Genomic DNA, 19,716 nt, shown 5'->3' with positions numbered 1-19,716 from the left:
TCCAGTCCTTCTGTGCATGTGCCTGGCATGTTGTTAAATATTTTGTGGCATAAGTTCTATTTGTGTTGATAGTTTCAGGTAAGAACAAACAGAAGTAGCCAGCGCCATTACCGCGGAGATCCCCAGGGCCAGCGCACAGCGACCTGTGCCTCTTGGTCCTTTCCTCCCCAAATCAGCCCTGGCGCCCTGGCAGATGAGAATCAGATGCTCAGCACCCCCACAGCAACAGTGAGGCAGCTCTGGCAATAAGCAAAAATGGTGGGCGGCAGCCTCCTGGAGCACGCCGGGTCCCTGACAGTAGGGAAAGAAAGCTTTCTACCTAACACCTCTCCTCCAGGACAGTTAGAACAAGTGTGGTCTGGACCCAGAGCATTGGAAGGAGTCTGCTGCCAGCCAAAGGGCAAGCTGTTGCCCCTACCGAGCAGCCCTGCAGAGAGGCTGGCACATCACATGCAGCATTTTTCCAGGTCATGCCAAAGTTGAGATCTTTTTCCAAGCAGGGCACAAAGGATTCCTACTTAGTGCTTTAAGAAGGAAATCATCGCTGTTTACCTTCAAATGCAGACACCCTGAGTAATTTCAGGCTGGTTTGGACATGCAGGATTTGAAGCAGAGCACAGCAAAACAGTTGATAGAATTAATCAGGATGTGAATCAGTGCAATTTGTTAGATACTGCAATATTGCCTTTCATGCTAATTTTTAAATGGCAGAGGCCATCAGGGGCTGGTGGGGACCAGTGTTCAGTGTCCTGTTGCTAGGAAGAGAGGGATAACATCATAGTCTGCAGTCCTGGGCAGATGCATTTTGGGGCCTTATATTGGTTGTGCAAATCTCAGCAGGTTTGGCAGGACAGGACCGCTGCTGTCGTCCCCAGCTGTGGAAAGTAAAAGAGATCAAGTAGGCTGGGCGCGGTGGTTCACACCTGTAATCTCAGCACTTTGGGAGGCTGAGGCGGGTGGATCACCTGAGGTCAAGAGTTTGAGACCAGCCTGACCAATATGGTGAAACCCTGTATCTACTAAAAATACAAAAATTAGCCAGGCATGATGGTGCACACCTGTAATCCCAGCTATTCGGGAGGCTGAGGCAGGAGAATCGCTCGAACCCAGGAGGTGGAGGATGCAGTGAGCCAAGATTGTGCCACAGCACTCCAGCCTGGGCAACAAGAGCAAAACTCCATCAAAAAAAAAAAAAGATAAATTATTCTTGGCTGAATAAAGAATAAAACTCTATACACGCACACACACACACACACTTTATGAGAGGCACATGTTCTGAAATTGTGTAAAAATAGTATTAATAAATTGATGTGAATGTGGCTTCAAAAGTAGATGAGTTCAGTTATGAGTTGGAATTTTCTTCCTGTTGGCTGAAGTGGGTTAACTTAAACAAACACCGCTCTTGCAGTAAAGAAAGATCTACATTTCCATCACAGGTAGGCAGCCTTGGATGAGATGAACAAACGCTTTGCACATGTCAAGTCTATCAGCATTTAGTCATACATGTAGTTACACATCCTTGCTGATTTCATTTCATTTTGTTTTCCTGGAAGGGACCTCGAGCTGCTGCATGAAAATTACATGTTAGTGGTGGGAAAAAGAAAACAACAACACAAAAGTGGCTTTTCTTGACTAGCTGTCAGTAGTGGGAGGGGTGCTGCGGAGTCGGAAACCATTTCTCCTGTGGCTGGCAGTTGCCACTTATACGGATCTACTTATTTGGAGGAGAAAAGAGCTGACACAAAAGGCTCTCTCTGAAATTCTGTGCGTAGAACAAAGCGGCACACGACGAGATGTAGAATTCCATTAGAGGACGGCCCCAGCACTCGCTGTCCTTCACAACGACCACCCCACAGGCGCATGAATAGAAGCCTCAGCCACCCACAGCCTCAGTGCCCGGCAGCGTGTCTCCAGGAAGGAAAGGCCCGGGCACAATGCATTTCTCTCAGGTTTGGCTCAGCTTCCCCGGGGATTTGCACCATCACAGAGAAACCTATCTCTCCTCCAGGGACCCACAGTTGGGGAGGCCACTCCATGCTGTCACCCCTTCCTGTCCCTCTGAAACGTTTCTTCCTTCCACTCATTTCTCCTAGATGAAATTTTAACTAGTATTTTCTTGATATTTTAAATAGACAATTAAATAAAGTCTTGAGTTTCAAGTTCCCCTGAGCAAAAATATTCAGTGCCTCAAACTCAGCAGAGGCAAAAAAACAAACTCACCTATGTCTCCGGCATCCCCTCCTGCACTCCCTACTTGGGTCAGAGGTGTCAGCATAGTGGCGAGTCAATCTCACAGCCCCTGCCTGTGGGCTTCTCCCAGGTCCCTGCATCTTCCTGTTCCCTATCCTGGCCCCTCTCCTCTGTTTCCACTGCCATGCCCTGGGTACACAGCCTCTGCCCGCTCTCCTGCCCCAGCCAGAGACTGCCCCCTGCGGTGCCTCCTCCACACCACCACCAGGTGTCCACCAGGACAGGTCTGACCCTGCCACCCCCACCCACCCCAACAGAGGGTGGGTGTGCACACACACATTCAACACACACACAACATACACACCGAACACACACACACAATTCACACAACACACACCATACCCAGCAAGACACATACCAACACAACACACACACAACACACAACACAGCCAACACACACAGCACACACCCACAACACACACACGCAACACACAACTCACACACAGTACACCCAACAAACACACTCTATACCCAACAACACATATTCCAACACACAACACATGCACACAACATAGCCAACACACACAAACCCAATCAATACATCACACAATACACACCCAACAAACAGCCACGACACACACACCCAACACACACACAACTCACACACAACACACCCAACACATCCAACACACACACCCAACACACACATCACACAACTCACACACAACACATACCCAATACACACACAACACATACATACACACACACACACACATGCTCCTGTTGGCCCCTCATGATGTTCAGAATAACACCTCTAAGCCATCCCAGCCTGATGTACAAAGCCCGCCACAGCCCAACCCTCTCCAAAGATGACACATTTAGGGACTATTTGAAATAAACTATCACTTGCAGTCAAAAGACGTTTTCAGTGGAATATTTTGTGGTTGTGTTTATCTGTTCTGTAGGCAACAACAAAACATATACACGCACATACACACGCATACACATATATACACACATACATATATATACATATATGCATATACACACATACATATATACATATACACAGATATACATGCACATACGTATACACACACACAAACACACACATACACATATGCACACACATATGAAGTATAACACATCTGTGTAGGGAGAGAAGGGGAAATTGTTCAAAGGCGGGCTGTCTGTCCTTATAACTATGGAGTGGAGGAAGCCGTGAGGTTCCCATAGACACTGATGTAGTAGATATACTAGCTCAGTCGCCATCTTGGTTATAACTCATCACAGCAGCTGTAATCCCTGATTTATCTATCTGTGACTGAAGGAAGATTCTTCCAGGGCAGGGGTCACGGCTTCATCTGCGTGTACTGGCTGGTCAGCACAGGGTGTGAGCTGGGCTTGAAACCCCTATAATCTATACGGAACCAGGATCTGAGAGCTCTCCTGTCCTGGGGAATGGAATGGGGAGTGGTGAGGGGTTGTGGTCCTTAGTAATTTGGGTGTGGACCTCCATAAACCTGCATTTGCAAATAGCTCCTAAAACTAACTTGTGGTAAGCTTCCAAAACCCTTCAGGCAGAATGCTTTTTGGGCATGTGGGTGCTCCTTAAGCCAATCCGCAGCTGTGTGGACTTCTTGGAGACATTGAAGCAGGGGCAGGCCTAGGGGAGATGGCTGGAATCTTGTGATGGGATTTACAGTCTTAGAAAGGCCTGATTGTCCCCAAAATATCTTCCCCTGCTAAACTTGTCATCACATCTGAAATCCTCCCTCTGGTTGTGGCTGTGGGTCTCAGCCCTAGCTACACCTTAGAATCACCTGCAAAGCTCAAGCCGGATGCTCGAAGCTTCCACCAAAGATTCGAGTTCCATGGTCTGGGGTAGGACCTGGGCATCAGTTCTTTAAAAGCTCTCCAGATGATTCTAAGGGGTGGTCAGGATTGAGACCCCCTCACTGACACGCCAGGAGCCACAGAGCAGTGGGTCCTCTTCATGTTTCTCCACCCGCATTCACGAGATTGTTTCAAGAGAGTTCCTATTACTGAGCTGCCAGTGGTACCTGCTTTCATTTTCATTTTAAAATAATAAATATATGGAATAATTATTTCAAGATTGTCCCCTTAGAGCTTGCTACCTCTAAGTACTCACGAGTGAGGCCCTGTGGCCCTCAGCAGAGGAAGGCTCAGATTTTTGCCATTCAGTTTGCTAAGTACAGCCAGGGGAAAGTACTTCTGACAGCCACAGAATTTTATTTTATTTTTTATTTTTTATATTTTTTTAAGACACAGGGTCTCATCTGGTCTTGAACTCCTGGCCTCAAGTGATCATCCTGGCTCAGCCTCCAGACATTATTCTTAGTCTTAGTTTTATATGGATTAATTTATACCCAGAATGGATATTAGCTAAATAAATAACGCACTTGAAATACTGACATTTATGAAGAAAATGATTATGTTATTTTTCTGATTATATTAAGTATTCCTCAAATATTTTACCAATTACATTCATTGAATTGAAACTCTTAAAGGACATCAGTCTCTGGTATCTCAAAATCTTGTCTAAAAGAGAAAATATAGTGATTCTTCTATCCAATTGCTTTTTCTGTTACTAATAAAACTCAACAAAAGAGACATCTCTCTTACCATTTTCGGAGAAAATATAAAAATTTTAGAGAACTGAGTTCATGATCCATTCCTGATGCCCTAAGGATGATTCACTTCAAGCTGCATTTTACCATTTGTTGTTTGCTCAAATCAAACACAATATAACAGGTCATTTTAAGAATGGTTTGTCGATAAATTGTGCTTTCTCATGTGAAAGTGGGGCATGGTGGCTCAGGCCTGTAATCCCAGCACTTTGGGAGGCCAAGGTGGAAGCATCACTTGACCCTAGGAGTTGGAGGCCAGTCTGGGCAACATAGCGAGACAACAAAAAATTAAAAACAAAAATTAGCCATATGGGGTTGTAGCTACTCAAGAGGCTGAGGCAGGAGGATACCTTGAGCCCAGGAGTTTGAGGCTGCAGTGAGCTATGCTCGCACCACTACACTCCAGCCTGGGTGACAGAGCCACATCGTCTCTAAAAAAAAAAAAAAAAAAAAAAAAGGCCAGCCACGGTGGCTCACACCTGTAATCCCAGCACTTTGGGAGGCCAAGGCGGGCGGATCACTTGAGGTCAGGAGTTCAAGACCAGCCTGGCCAACACGGTGAAACCCTGTCTCTACTGAAAATACAAAATTAGCCGGGCATGGTGGCGCATGCCTGTAATCCCTGCTACTCGGTAGCCTGAGGCAGGAGAATTTCTTGAACCCAGGCGGCAGAGGTTGCAGTGAGCTGTGATCACACCACTGCACTCCAGCCTGGTAGACAAAGCAAAACTCTGCCTCAAAAAAAAAAAAAGAAAAAGAAAAAATAATGTCAAATTTGTCAGAATCAAAATGGAGTCACTTGTGTCAAACCCTGACAACATGGCGGTGGGAAAAACCATGAAGGAAGGGTTTTCATGCACAATTGTCTGATAACAAAAAGTATCACACATACACAAAAAAACTGCTCAAATCAGGCCACTGCAACCTTACACAAAAAATAACTTCTGTGAGGAAATCTGCCCAGCAACTGCCTTGGACTGATGCCACCCTTGTTACTGAACCATGTAGCCAAGGATAATTGTTTCAGTACAACTTATGTAACCCTCATTTTGCTTTTAAAAGCACTTGTTTTCCCGCGCCTCTCTGAATATGCCCATAGTTTATCACGGCACACATATTCAGCACTGTAATGCCCATTCCTAAATAAACTCATTGTCTTTGGAGAAACTTCCTGTTATTCAGACTCACACTCATGTAAAAATTAAACTATGTTAAATAGCACAAGCCACTCATTAAGTGAGAATGCATCAAATTATGATCATTAATATGACATTCAAAACACTTTGGAAGACATCCTTTAATACACTGATCTAAAGATACTAACATTAAGATAAGGTGTGCTCAATGGCACGTAAAAATACTTTATCTTAAAGGAGAGTTTTCATATCATACTTTGCGTGAAAGAGGTTCACAGGCCACTTTCGAGAAACAGCATCTTTTCTTTAACTCGATCATCAGAAACACACAGTATCTTGTTGAACAGAGACTTCAGGTTCCCACCCAAACCCACAAAACAGTATGCAAGAGAAATGCCAGGCTCCTCTCGTTTTTGAGACAGAGTCTCGCTTCTTCACCAAGGCTGGAGTGTAATGATGCCATCCCGGCTCACCGCAACCTCCGCCTCTCCGGTTCAAGCAATATATCCTGCCTCCGCCTCCCCAATAGCTGGGACTACAGGAATGTACCACTGCATCCAGCTAATTTTTGTATTTTTAGCAGAAAGCAGGTTTAACCCTATTGGCTAGACTGGTTTTGAACCTCCTGACCTCCAGTGATCCACCCACCTTGGCCTCCCACCATGCTGGGATTACAGGAATGAGCCACAGCGCCCCGCCAGACCCCCATATTTTTAATAAGCACCCAAAATTATGCTGATGAACCTGGTGTAGCAAACACCTATCTTGTTACAACGCAGATCTAGTGTGTATGTAATTTGTGGGTTCTTGGTCTCACTAGCTTCAGGAATGAAGCCACGGATCCTAACGGTGATAGTTCTTAAAACGCAGTGTATCTGGAGTTTGTTCCTTCTAACATTCAGATGTGTTGGACAGTTTTTTCCTTCTGGTGGGTTCGTGGTCTCCCTGACTCAGGAGCAAAGCTGCACACATTTACGCATGAGTACCACAGCTCTTAAAGGGAACATGTCTGCAGTTGTTCTTCCTGGTGGGTTTAGTAAGCTCCCTGGCATCAAATATAAAGCTACAGATTTTCATGGTGGGTATCATACCTCATAAAAGCAGTATAGCCACAGAAAGTAAGCAGCAAGAACTTATTACAAACAGCAAAATAACAAAGCCACCACACTGCATACATAACACCAAGGAGACTCACAACTAGCAGCTCCGGCAGCCTGCTTTTATTCTCTTATCTGGCCCCACCCACATCCTGCTGATTGGCCCATTTTACTGAGAGCCGATTGGTCTGTTTTACAGAGAGCTGATTGGTCCGTCTTGACAGGGTGCTGATTGGTGCCTTTACAATCCCTGAGCTAGACACAAAAGTTCGCCACCTCCCCACTAGATTAGCTAGATACAGTGTCAATTGGTGCATTCACAAACCCTGAGCTAGACACAGAGTGCTGATTGGTGCATTCACAAACCTTGAGCTAGACACAGAGTGCTGATTGGTGTATTCACAATCCCTAGCTAGACATAAAGATTCTCCAAGTCCCCACCAGATTAGCTAGATACAGAGTGCCGACTCGTGCATCCACAAACCCTGAGCTAGACACAGGGTGCTGATTGGTGTGTTCACAAACCTTGAGCTAGACACAGAGTGCTGATTGGTGCACTCACAATCCCTTAGCTAGACACAAAGGTTCTCCAAGTCCCTACTAGACTCAGGAGCCCAGCTGGCCTCACCCAGTGGATCTCGCACCGGGGCGCAGGTGGAGCTGCCCTCCAGTCCCGCGCCGTGCGCCCACACTCCCTCAGCCCTTGGGCGGTCGGTGGGACCGGGCACCGTGGAGCAGGGTGCGGTGCTCGTCGGGGAGGTTCAGGCCACGCGGGAGCCCGCGGCGGGGCGGGGACTCAGGCATGGCGGGCTGCAGGTCCTGAGCCCTGCCCCGCGGGGAGGGCGCTAAGGCCCGGCGAGTAGTCGAGCACAGCAGCTGCTGGCCCAGGTGCTAAGCCCCTCACTGCCCGGGGCTTGCGGGCCAGCCAGCCGCTCCGAGTGCGGGCCCGCAAAGCCCACGCCCACCCGGAACTCTAGCTGGCCCGCAAGCGCCGCGCGCAGTCCCAGTTCCCGCCCGTGCCTCTCCCTCCACACTTCCCCGCAAGCCGAGGGAGCCGGCTCTGGCCTCGGCCAGCCTAGAGAAGGGCTCCCACGGTGCAGCGGCGGGCTGAAGGACTTCTCAAGCGCGGCCAGAATGGGCGCCGAGGCCGAGGAGGCACCGAGAGCGAGAGAAGGCTGCGGGGGCTGCCAACACGCCGTCACCTCTCACTAGGGGCAGAAAGAAGCCGGAATAGCATGTTTGCTGGCAGGGGAAGGAACTGGCTAGGTAGAAGGAGGCCAGATCTGAACGTAGTCCTGCCCTGGAAGATCCTAGAAAGCTGGGGTAAAGACAAGAAAGCCAAAAGGGATGAAGGTTTAGGCGAGGCTTAAAGATGCAATGCAGTAGACCCAATTACTTCTCTCAGATGTGTCTCTTATTATGTGACCTTGGAAAGCTACTGACCTCAGGTTCCTTGTCTGTATAATGGGGATTTAAAAAAATCCATGTCCTCAGATTGCCATAAGGATTAAGTAAAATCATCTAGGTAAGGTATTTAAACCCAAAGCAGCTAAACATAAACTGGGAACCCAAAGAGAGGCTGAGAATGGTTCTGAAGAGTGATTTTGGCTGTCTTTGACCTGTCTTACTGACATCATATTTTGTGAAACTACCTACCTGTATGTTTTCCTGTTCTTTTAGGGATGGACAATTTCTTCATAAATCCCACCAGTCTGGGATCCCATGTCATTTCACTAGGCTGGTCCTTCAATAATTAAACAGTCTCTCCAAGCCTGGAAATTATTATTTTTTTTGAGGTGGTCAAGTTGGAGCATTTAGTGAATAAGACTAGACAATGCTGTGTTTTTAACATAGTTTCTGCAGGATTTTCTGTGTGAAGATGATGTTCTAGAGAAAGGGAGTTTTATGTTGCCAACCTCTATTAAGTGCGCAAAGAAGTGAGGTTGGGGGTTGGGAGCTGCACATGCTGAGATCTTTGATTTAATTCTCACTGAAAGCAATCTTTAACATCTTTCCACGATGAAAATGTAATTGTTAGCTAGGCTTACAAATTGGAGGCACAATTCTAAAGACCATAGAATAACTCACTGGAAGCATGCAAGCTGGTAATGAGATTAGAGGCTCAACTCTGAGACATCACAGGGAATAAAATATATATTCAAATGCCCTCCTGTATCTTTCAGGAAGCCAGGGATGGGCTCCCAGTGCAAATAGATGTTATGCAAATACAGTGTGCATATATTAGAGAAGTGATGAAAAATAGAAAGTAATCTTGAGACCTCCCTTTTCCTTAAAGAAAAGATGTGGCTGTTTCTGAATTGCTCCCCTCCAAGGACGCCTCTGCCCCCTCTCCGCCTGGCTGGCTTTGCAGAGGTTGAAGGGAAGACCTGGGAAGACACATGCAAATGAACCCCGCCGGGCTGCTGGGCAACGAGGGTGCTCAAGATGCAAACTGAGCTGCAGCAATAAAGTCAAAAGGAGGAGAAAGAATGAAACGGTGGTTTTCATCTTTATCCCTTGTCGTTAGGCATGGTTCTTCTCAATCTATTGTTAGACTTGATTGTGTTTCCGTATCTCTACTTGCCTTTCAGACGCAATGCTCTTCACTGCTTAAAATGATTAGTATATTCCAGCAGCAATTCCTACAGCAGAAGTATGCCGCATGGTGGTAATTCTTTGTGTCAGAAGAATGAAATCGGGAGTTTGGGACATTCCTGTTCATAAAGTTACATATCCATGGGTTCTGTCTCCTTGATGATTTTTTCTCTCTAGTCTATATTCTGACTAAAATCCAGCATGAGAATTGTGTAAGCGAATTTCATAAGAAGAACATGAGTCATCTGCTATGAGAAATCCAATGTGCCATTTAAAATTTACTAGAAAGGTCTAAAACCAGTGCCTTTCAAATCGTGAACTCACCTGGGCTTGGTGGTGCGAGTCTGTCGTCCCAGTTACTCAGGAGGCTGAGGAGGGAGGATTGTTTGAGGCCACAGTGCACCATCAACATGTCTGGAAATAGCCATTGCACTCCAGTCTGGGCAACACAGGGAGATGTCATCTCTAAAAAAATGTTTTTTAATATTATGAACTCAATCTGTAAGTGAGCTCGTTACCATGAAGAAAGTTTCCCTTTAAATGGGTGAGGCTGGGCGCGGTAGCTCACGGTTGTAATCCCAGCAATTTCCGAGGCTGAGGCGGATGGATCACTGGAGGTTGGGAGTTTGAGGCCAGCCTGGCCAACATGGTGAAACGCTGTCTCTGTTAAAAATACAAAAATTAGCCAGGCGTGGTGGTGCATGACTGTGATCCCAGCTACTTTGGAGGCTGAGGCATGAGAATCACTTGAACCTGGAAGGTGGAGGTTGCAGTGAGCTGAGATGGCGCCACTGCACACCAGCCTGGGCGACAGAGCAAGACTGTCTCAAAAAAAAAAAAAAAGGGGGGGTGAGATTCTCAGCAAACTATCGCAAGGACAAAAATCCAAACACCGCATGTTCTCACTCATAGGTGGGAATTGAACAATGAGAACACATGGATGCAGGAGGGGGAACATCACACACCGGGGCCTGTTTTGGGGCGGGGGAATGGGGGAGGGAGAGCATTAGGAGAAATACCTAATGTTAAATGACGAGTTACTGGGTGCAGCACACCAACATGGCACATGTCTACACATGTAACTAACCTGCACGTTGTGCACATGTACCCTAAAACTTAAAGTATAATTTAAAAAATTTAAAAAAAAAAGGGTGAGAAAATGGGGAAAGTAACAAATGGTCTGATGTCTGGGTGTGACCCCAAACCTTATTTTCCAGGTAGCATTCTCTAGAAGGGATAGAAACCATGGCCACCTAGTGAGTGTTAGAGACACTGTGCAGAGCTCACATTGATCTCAGTCAGGGATGCAGTGGTGATTGCTGACAATATACCACTAAAATAATGGCAAAAACCGCAATTACTTTTGCACCAACCTATACAAACTTCTTCTACTTTGAAAACAAAACTGTGGTGGAATTAAATATTGATGTGTGAACTTATCAGCGATTACCAGATGATCAGTTTCTAGAATATCATCTTTCCTTTCCCACAGTTGCCAAGAGCCTGATGATTCATGATCTCTTAGGCTAACAAATCTAAATTTCAAAAAGATAATAGAAACCCTGACCACTTAGTTACTTCCCAATGCACAGAGTACTTGCTTATCTTTTTTTTTTTTTTTTTTTTTTTTTTTGAGATGGAGTCTCGCTCTGTCGCCCAGGCTGGAGTGCAGTGGCGTGATCTTGGCTCACTGCAACCTCCGCCTCCCAGGTTCAAGCAATTCTCCTGCCTCAGCCTCCCGAGTAGCTGGGATTATAGGCGTCTGTCACCACATTTGGCTAATTTTTGTATTTTTAGTAGAGACAGGGTTTTACCATGTTGGCCAGGCTGGTCTTGAGCTCCTGACCTCAGGCGATTTGCCTGCCTCAGCTTCCCAAAGTGCTGGGATTATAGGTGTGAGCCACAGCGCCTGGCCTTTGTTTATCTTTAGTTAAGAAACAGAGTATAGAAGAATTCTCTGCTCATATTGATGCTGTTCTTACTCTATTTGCTAGCTGGTAATAAAAATATGTTGAAGGAATGAGTGGTGAAAGGATGGAAAAATGTGGATAAAGAGGAACATTTGCAGGGAAATAACATATTACAGTTACAGAATATATGTTTATTACAGTTGGATCAATATATTTTTAAAAAAATGAAAAAAATATGTGAAAAAACTGCTTAATTGGGTAAAGTCATAGGTTTTGCGTCTGGATTTATAATTAGCAAACTGAAAAAAAAAGACAACTTCCAGATCCCCAATAAAGTTACTGATGCATTTAGGAGTTTCATTTCCTTAGGAAGTGTGCTCATTCATAACATGTTGTCATAGAAACTTTTTTTTTTTCCTGAGGCAGACTCTTGCTCTGTCTCCCAGGCTGGAATGCAGTGGCGCAATCTCAGCTCACTGCAACCTCTGCCTCCCTGGTTCAAGCAATTGTCCTGCCTCAGCCTCCTGAGTAGCTAGGATTACAGGTGTGCACCACCACGTCTGGCTAATTTTTGTATTTTTAGTAGAGAGGGGGTTTCACCACGTTAGCCAGGCTGGTCTCGAACTCCTGACCTCGTGATCCACCCGCCTCATCCTCCCAAAGTGCTGGGATTACAGGCATGAGCCACCGTGCCCAGGAAGAAACTTTTTAAAAGTGTTGTTTTCCAGCCATTTTGTTGTTCCACTGAACGGCCTGGGAGAATACCCTCCAAGTACTGGGTTAAGAAGAGAGAATACCAAAGTCCCCCACACCTTTGCTTCCCTCCTTCCCACGCTCCCCAACTAAGAGAACTGTGTGTTCGTCCTTCCTCAGACAGAAGATTTCCTGGAAATACCTTTTGTTTGAAAACACTGACTGTGCCTCACAGCTCAGAGCTAAGAAAAGAGGCCAAGTCTGGCTATTAAGGAATAAACCTTGTGAAGCAGGCGTTGGTGGAAGACACTGTCCGCTTCCTGTACAGTGGAGAGTCTGGGATAATTTGGGATATGGGCAAACATGTTCACCCACCTTACTAAAATGTGCTTAACTTGATATTGATATGAAACAGTTATTAAACATTTGAGAATGGCCTGAATAATGTGCGCCGGCCTGTCCGTTTTCCTGTAAGTCTCTGATTTGAAGGAGGGTATTCCCAGATGTGGTGTCGTTGTCCCCTGGTCAGCCACCCTTCCTCATTTCTTACACCTCATGAACGAAAATGAACAGCCACGGCCACAGGCAAGTGAAATCCATCGGCTATGCCCAGTTTCTCCCCAATATCCTTAGCTATTAATGTCACTCATTTTTTGGAAGCCACTTCAAATCCTTTTTGGAATAAAATAGTTATTATACATCATTGAGCAGTAGGTGTGCAGTTGCATTCCAGGAGGAATTACATTTCTTCTCATGTTGGACTCAACATCACTGGAATTAATTCATTAGAAAACACTCTTTTCAATTCCATTTTCTCTCGCTTTGAAAAATACAGACTAAGTGTCAAACTTGTTTCCCTGAAAGGGGCCAAAAGCAGCAAAATTAATCACCAAGAGCTATTTTCATTGAATATAAAGTTACATAAAGGCCTCTGAAGACCAGACAGTGTTTAAACTATATGCGGGTGTGGTTATGGATGTGAAATATGTGGATAGCATGTGAGCGCTGGCTACATGCCCGAAGCATGCCCACACAGCCGCCTGGGCAGACGAGCTATCTCAGAGGGATTGTCTTTAAGCAAAACCATCTGTCACTGTGGTCCAAAAGGCGCGGCATGAGCTCTGCCACAGCAGCGACTTTGGGGTTGAGCCTGTCTCTGAAATGCAGTGTACTGGCAAACTGAGAAAACAATCTTACTTTCTGTCAGACTGGGATTTGCTGACGCTGAACTTGGAGTGGAGTTTTAGAAGGAGTATAATCAGCATCAAAAGAGATGCCAGTCTGCTGAACTTTAAAATAGGTTATTAACAAAAAGCAAAATCTGCAGAGTAGTCTGCGATTGCATAGCTTCCAAAGTATAGCTGTGGTTTAGCCCAAAGTTGGTCATCAGAACTAGCACTGGTTTCTAGAATATATACAGGGGGATGGGGGTAGGAGTAGCAACAAAGATCTTCAAGCATAAACTTACACATACACATACACACACACACACACACACACTCCTTGCTCAGAGGTCTATATAAGCATTATAAGTAACTTTAATTATTTTAAAAATAAGGAAAAGCAAATGTTCCAGTTATTCTTAGTTCTTCATCAATCATTGACCCAAATTGGATGTTTTCGGAAAGCAGTTTATATCTCCTTATAAATGTATTTACTTATTTTTTGAATCTTGGCCTTGTGACTTCTGCTCTGGGCTGAGGTCAGGTCGTTTTGAGTGTTTGAGTTAGAGAACCCCTGGGAAAGGAACTTCAATTATTTTTCTGTCTGGATGAGTGTCAGAACAATTCATCATAACAACTGGTACGAATGCACGTAATTCTGTAAAAGTCGCTCCTTGAACCAAGACATTGGCATTTGTTCCATTGCCTTGAACTTTTTTTCTGGTTTCAGTTCACCAAGCCCTTTTTGCTTGGGCAGAATTTAAGCCCCGTGGGTGAGGTATACACAGTCACAAGACAATGAGTAGCAACAATTCGACAATTAGCTGAAATACTTGGGAGGTGCAGACAATTAAGGTAAGTAATTTGGGCTGCACTTGGAAGCAAATATTCTGGCCAACTAGAGAGAAGGAGAGAAGGGTAAAATAGAGGCTTTCACTGAAATGCCCATACCTGCATTGAGCAAACCTGGGTGAACATATAAATACACACAAAAGCCAGAAGGGAATCAGGACGTGATTATTTGTTTCAGACAGAAGGGTGACGTGGGACTCTAATGTTCTCTTGGCTTGTAGTAAGGTATCTTCAAACATCATCTCGATGTAAATTTTCCCCCACTTCCTTAGACTAACCTTCAAGAAGAATTAAAATTGTGTCAGTGATAAAAGGAGAAGTAAGCCAGGGTTTCCCATCCCCCAATAATGCTCTTGAGATTCTAATAGAAAGGCCACAGGAGGGAGGAAACAAGAAGTTTACCCTGGAAAGAGAGGAAAGGAAGAGCCTAAAGTCACTGGGAGGGTGTGGAAGGGAACATGGTGGCAGGGGTGGCTTTGGAGGTGGGTGGGGAGGGACTTGGGAATGGAGAGGGCCGACTGGCAGCCAGCATACACCAACCACCACCTCATGGAAGCCAAACCATGTCTGTGGATCATGCATTGCAGGCAGTGAGAAGCTGCTTGTCCTGTCCTCATTGGGCCAGGCCCTCCAAGGGCACCCACCTGCCCACTGCCTATGGATGGTATGCCCATCTCTGCCCAAACACCTCGATGAGCCCCCTCACAATGGCCTCATGTTACTTGCCTTGAATGGCTCAAACCATACAATTCCCTCCAAAACAGCATACAATTCCCTCCAAAACAGCATGGGTCCTTGCTATTCAGAAATGCTGTTGGGGACAAATCCAAGCCCCCTTATGTGGGTAAGGCTAAGTGGTGAAATATACCACCTGCTACAAATTCATGTCCATTCAAATAAATGTATAGAAATTTAGTCAAACCATATCTTTCCAGGAGCCTCTCCGCTCCATCAGGTAAGGGACAATGGAATTCAGCCTTGGTTTTCTGAACCAACAGCTCTTGCTCACCTAGTCCTAAGTGGCTGAATGTGTGATCAGATTGAGGCTGCAAAAAATGAACAAGATGCTGGACACATAGATATGAGCAGATATCAAATGAGGTAGACATCAACCCAAAACTCCCTCCACAACTCCTTGAATGAGGCTGAAGGACCTCAATCCCTTTTTCACACACTCACGGAATAAAATCATGACTGGGTACCAGTCTAGAAAGTCTCTATGTTATGTGATACTACTCATGCAAATACAGTCAGGACAACATCTCTGCCCTGCAGGGCATTAATGATTTTACAACCAACATTCACTATAGTTAAATGATCACTCAAGTCCTTTTCAGCTAGAATGTTAAGTGATTCTATTAAGTTTACTTGAATATCTATCTTGGGGCATTTGGGTGTAAAATGCAATATTCTGGACTTAATTTGCTGAGGGGCTGTTGTGTGTTTTGGTGAGGGGCATGCAACAAGCCAGGGCGTCTCAGGAATAAGGAGGCTTTAGAAACAGCTGCTGCCACACTCGTCAACACCCTGTGGATACTTCCATGAAGCTATATTACAAGTTCATGGCTCTATGAACTTGTATTACATACAAGACACAGTGTTGATTAATTTTGGTTCTTTTCCTTGACCTTCGACTCAGTGAATAATAACTAGTTTGGGACTAATTTTAATGTGCTTGATAAAAAAATCATAGCCACAAATGTTTAAATAGTATCTGAGCCTTAATATCACTGTGAGAATGTCAGCAGAAATAAATGGTTTCTCAAGGCAGACAACAGGTTCTTAAAACCATGTTTAGATTATCTTTATTAAAAGGAGTAGAAATATAAATATTATCCCTCTCCAACTTTTACTTGGGAAAATTTTCAAATATTCAGAAAAGTTGACAGAATAGTATAATAAAGGCCTAAATCCTTTCTCTTAGATACAATTATTCACGTTTTGCTATATATGCTTCCTAGATTTACCCACTTAATTATTTATTTATTTATTGTGAAGCCAGTTGAAAGACAGTTTTAACATCACACTTCATTACTGAGAACTTCAGCAAACAAAGCCTAAAAACAAGAACACTTCCATTACAAAATACCATTATTGTACTTAAGAAAATAAACACAACTTCTGAAATATCATTTGTATCCTGTTTATATTTAAGTTTTCCCAGTGGTCTAAGACTTATTCTCTATGCTTATTATATAGTTTCATTTTTATGTACTAGGAGTGACTTCACTGACACTTGGCTTCACTCTGTTGTCAGAAAGCAGGACTTGAGAGGCTATTCTAATACTGAAATTACCATGTTGGTAAATGCACTTCTAAAATCAGTTACTTGGAGGCGTTTTATTTGAGAACAAAGTTTACCTGGCAGGATCATTAGAAATCTACGTTGGTGAACTGTCTATATGTATAGGCATATAGCCAACAATTAGCAAATGTTACCTTGAAATTTTCTCAGCCCAGATCACCGTGGAGCAACCTTACGGAAGACGATGTTGGAGTCTTGATGTCCTGCTGTTCATGCATTAGAACAGCTCCCCGTCTACTGGAAATTTCAGTTGAAGATTCTCTTCATCCCATGACCAGACAGACATAAGATGTTCCTCAGATGTTGTTGTGAGGATTATCAGACTCAGACAAGAATTTTTACGTGAAAGGATGTCCATTCTACAATCCGAGTGCTCAGTTGCCACTTTTAAAAGCACGTGGAGGCCGGATGCGGTGGCTCACACCTGTAATCCCAGCACTTTGGCAGGCTGATCACCTGAGGTCAGCACTTTGAGACCAGCCTGAACAATACAAAAATTAGCTGGGCATGGTGGCCAGCGCCTATAGTCCCAGCTACTGGCGAGGCTGAGACAGGAGAATTCCTCGAACCCGGGAGGCGGAGGTTGCAGTGAGCCGAGATCGCACCACAGCACTCCAGCCCGGGAGACAGAGCGAGACTCCGTCTCAAAAACAAACAAAAAAGCACGTGGATACGCCCTCAACCAACAAGACAGGATACCTGCACTGCCCCTAGCCAGAGAACACAAACTTCACCATTTGCTCCTCTCAGGACACAGCAGTCTACAGAACAGAAAAAGGCCCTCCTCACAAGATTTACATGCTAGTGAGGATACAGGTCATGATACACGTTATCACGACGTTCACTCTGAAAAAACACAAAACACGTTGGGAAAGAGAATGACGGGCAGGTGGGCGGGGGGAGTGACCTCTTTCAGGTGGGTGGCCAAGAGCCCCTCCAAGGAGATGGTGAATTCTAGATGAGGGAGGAAGCCATTTGGGAGTGTGTCCAGAATTGATGGGTTTTTGGCCTCACTGACGTCAAGCATAAAGCCTCAGACCCTCACAGCAAGTATTACAGTTCTTAAAGGCGGCGTGGCTGGTGCTTGCGGTTAAGTGTTACAGGCCCTCAAAGGCGGCATGGCCGGAGTTTGTTCCTTGACATTCTGATGTGTTGGGTGTTTTTTCCCTCTGGGGGGGTTCATGGTCTCACCAGCGAGGAAAGCTGAGGACCTTCGTGGTGAGTGTTACAGCTCGCAAATGCACCGTGAACCCAAAGAACAAACAACAACAAAATTTATTACAAAAAGCAAAAAAACAAAGCTACCACAGCCTGAAAACGGACCGTGGCGGCGTGCCGCGCTTGCCTCAGGCAGCCTGCCTTTATTCTCTTATCTGGCCCCACCCACATCCTGCTGATTGGTCCATTTTACAGAGAGCCGACTGGTCTGTTTTACAGAGAGCTGATTGGTCCATTTTGACTATTTTGAGCCTCGGGGAGGCTCGGGAGGCGCAGGAGCCCACGGCGTGGGGGAGGCTGAGGCATGGCGGGCTGCAGGTCCCGAACCCTGCTCCGCAGGGAGGCAGCTAAGGCCCAGCGAGAAGTCGAGCACAGCAGCTGCTGGCCCAGGTGCTAAGCCCTTCACTTCCCCGGGCCGGCGGGGCTGTCGGGGCCGGCTGGTCGCTCCGAGTGCGGGGCCCGCCGAGTCCACGCCCACCCGGAACTCGCGCCGGTCCATAAGCGCCGCGAGCAGCCCCGGTTCCCGCCCGTGCCTCTCCCTCCACACCTCCCCGCAAGCTGAGGGAGCCGGCTCCGGCCTTGGCCAGCCCAGGAATGGGCTTCCACAGTGCAGCGGCGGGCTGAAGGGCTCCTCAAGCGCGGCCAGAGTGGGTGCCAAGGCCGAGGAGGCGCCAAGAGCGAGCGAGGGCTGTGAGGGCTGCCATGCCGGTACACTGTCACTTCTCAGAAGGACGCAGGGCAGAGTTTCAGGCTGGCTCTGTCACCCATGCTGGAGTGCAGTGGCATGATCTTGGCTCACTGCAACGTCTGACCCCTCTGAGTTCAAGCGATTCTCCTGTCTCAGCCTCCTGAGTAGCTGGGACTATAGGCGCCCGCCACCATGGCCAGCTAATTTTTGTATTTTTAGTAGAGACGGGGTTTCACCATATTGGTCAGGCTGGTCTCAAACTCCTGACCTTAGGACCCGCCTGGCATATCTAGGAGGAGTGGACTAGAGAATGTAGGAATGTGAGGGATGAGATGGAAGACTGGGGGGACGGCGTCAGGCGTAGGCCATGTAGAGGCCTTGCAGGTCAGGCGAAGGTTTTGGAGTTTAACTCTTGAGTCAGGAAGCGTTGGAGGGAAGCCATTTCCAACCCACATTTAGTAACTGAATGCACTTCGATGGTGTGCTTATCCATGGACCAATTTTCCTCTGCTCCTTTTTCTCTTCTACATTTTCCTAGGATCTAAATTCTAATTTATGCATTTTTTTATTGTATATATTTTGGCAAATCATCTTAAATCTTTTGTGGAATCAAATAAGACACATCTGTATCTACATATTTATAGCTATGTCCCTATCTATCCATGTGGTAAAAATTTTAAAGTTATATTACTTGTTTGGGGCTTATATTACTGGTGAATATGAAGACTGATGTCTGCTCAACACATGTCAGAACAAAGTTCAGGCACAGAAATTTTATTTCTATTCAGAATATAAGAAAATGCTGAATCAAAGTGTAACAATGATCTCTTATTGAATCTAACCATACAAAGGGATCCCATGTTTGTCGTAATGTAATAGTTCCAGAATAAATATTATTGGCAAGCATTATGTCACTATGTCTCGTCAATGTTGATCTCAAAATATTTCAGATTTGAACTCCAAACTTTCCTTATTTTTCATACATAGTTTCCACAAACAAGCTCACTAACTCTGCTCATGATAGCCTATAGAAAGTAGGCTGAGTGAATGTCTCAATGCGCTAATGAATGTAAAAAAAAAAGTTTAGCTTCAACTCCTAAAATAAATCACTTCATGTATTAATGCATTCATACCATTAGGGAAAATACAGTGGGTTGTGGAGCAGGTACAAATGCTGTGACTGTCCATAGGCTGTTTGCTGAATAACCTCACAGCTTA

At 45.5% G+C, this 19,716-nt stretch overlaps 2 annotated features.

Moving 5' to 3' along the window:
- Positions 9,330-9,624: a silencer, noted in NCBI's record as "tiled region #8997; K562 Repressive non-DNase unmatched - State 21:Repr". NCBI's record gives its function as "represses a minimal TATA promoter and a strong SV40 promoter by Sharpr-MPRA in K562 cells {active_cell/tissue: K562}" and the evidence as "EXISTENCE:reporter gene assay evidence [ECO:0000049][PMID:27701403]".
- Positions 18,373-18,886: an enhancer, noted in NCBI's record as "H3K27ac-H3K4me1 hESC enhancer chr6:3761087-3761600 (GRCh37/hg19 assembly coordinates)". NCBI's record gives its function as "activates a minimal SCP1, AML or CMV promoter by ChIP-STARR-seq in primed H9 embryonic stem cells {active_cell/tissue: H9 hESC(primed)}" and the evidence as "EXISTENCE:reporter gene assay evidence [ECO:0000049][PMID:30033119]".

Source organism: Homo sapiens, chromosome 6 (assembly GCF_000001405.40).
Source record: "Homo sapiens chromosome 6, GRCh38.p14 Primary Assembly".
In the NCBI taxonomy this organism is placed as follows: Eukaryota; Metazoa; Chordata; class Mammalia; order Primates; family Hominidae; genus Homo; species Homo sapiens.
This window is presented reverse-complemented; position numbering and strand designations above follow the sequence as displayed.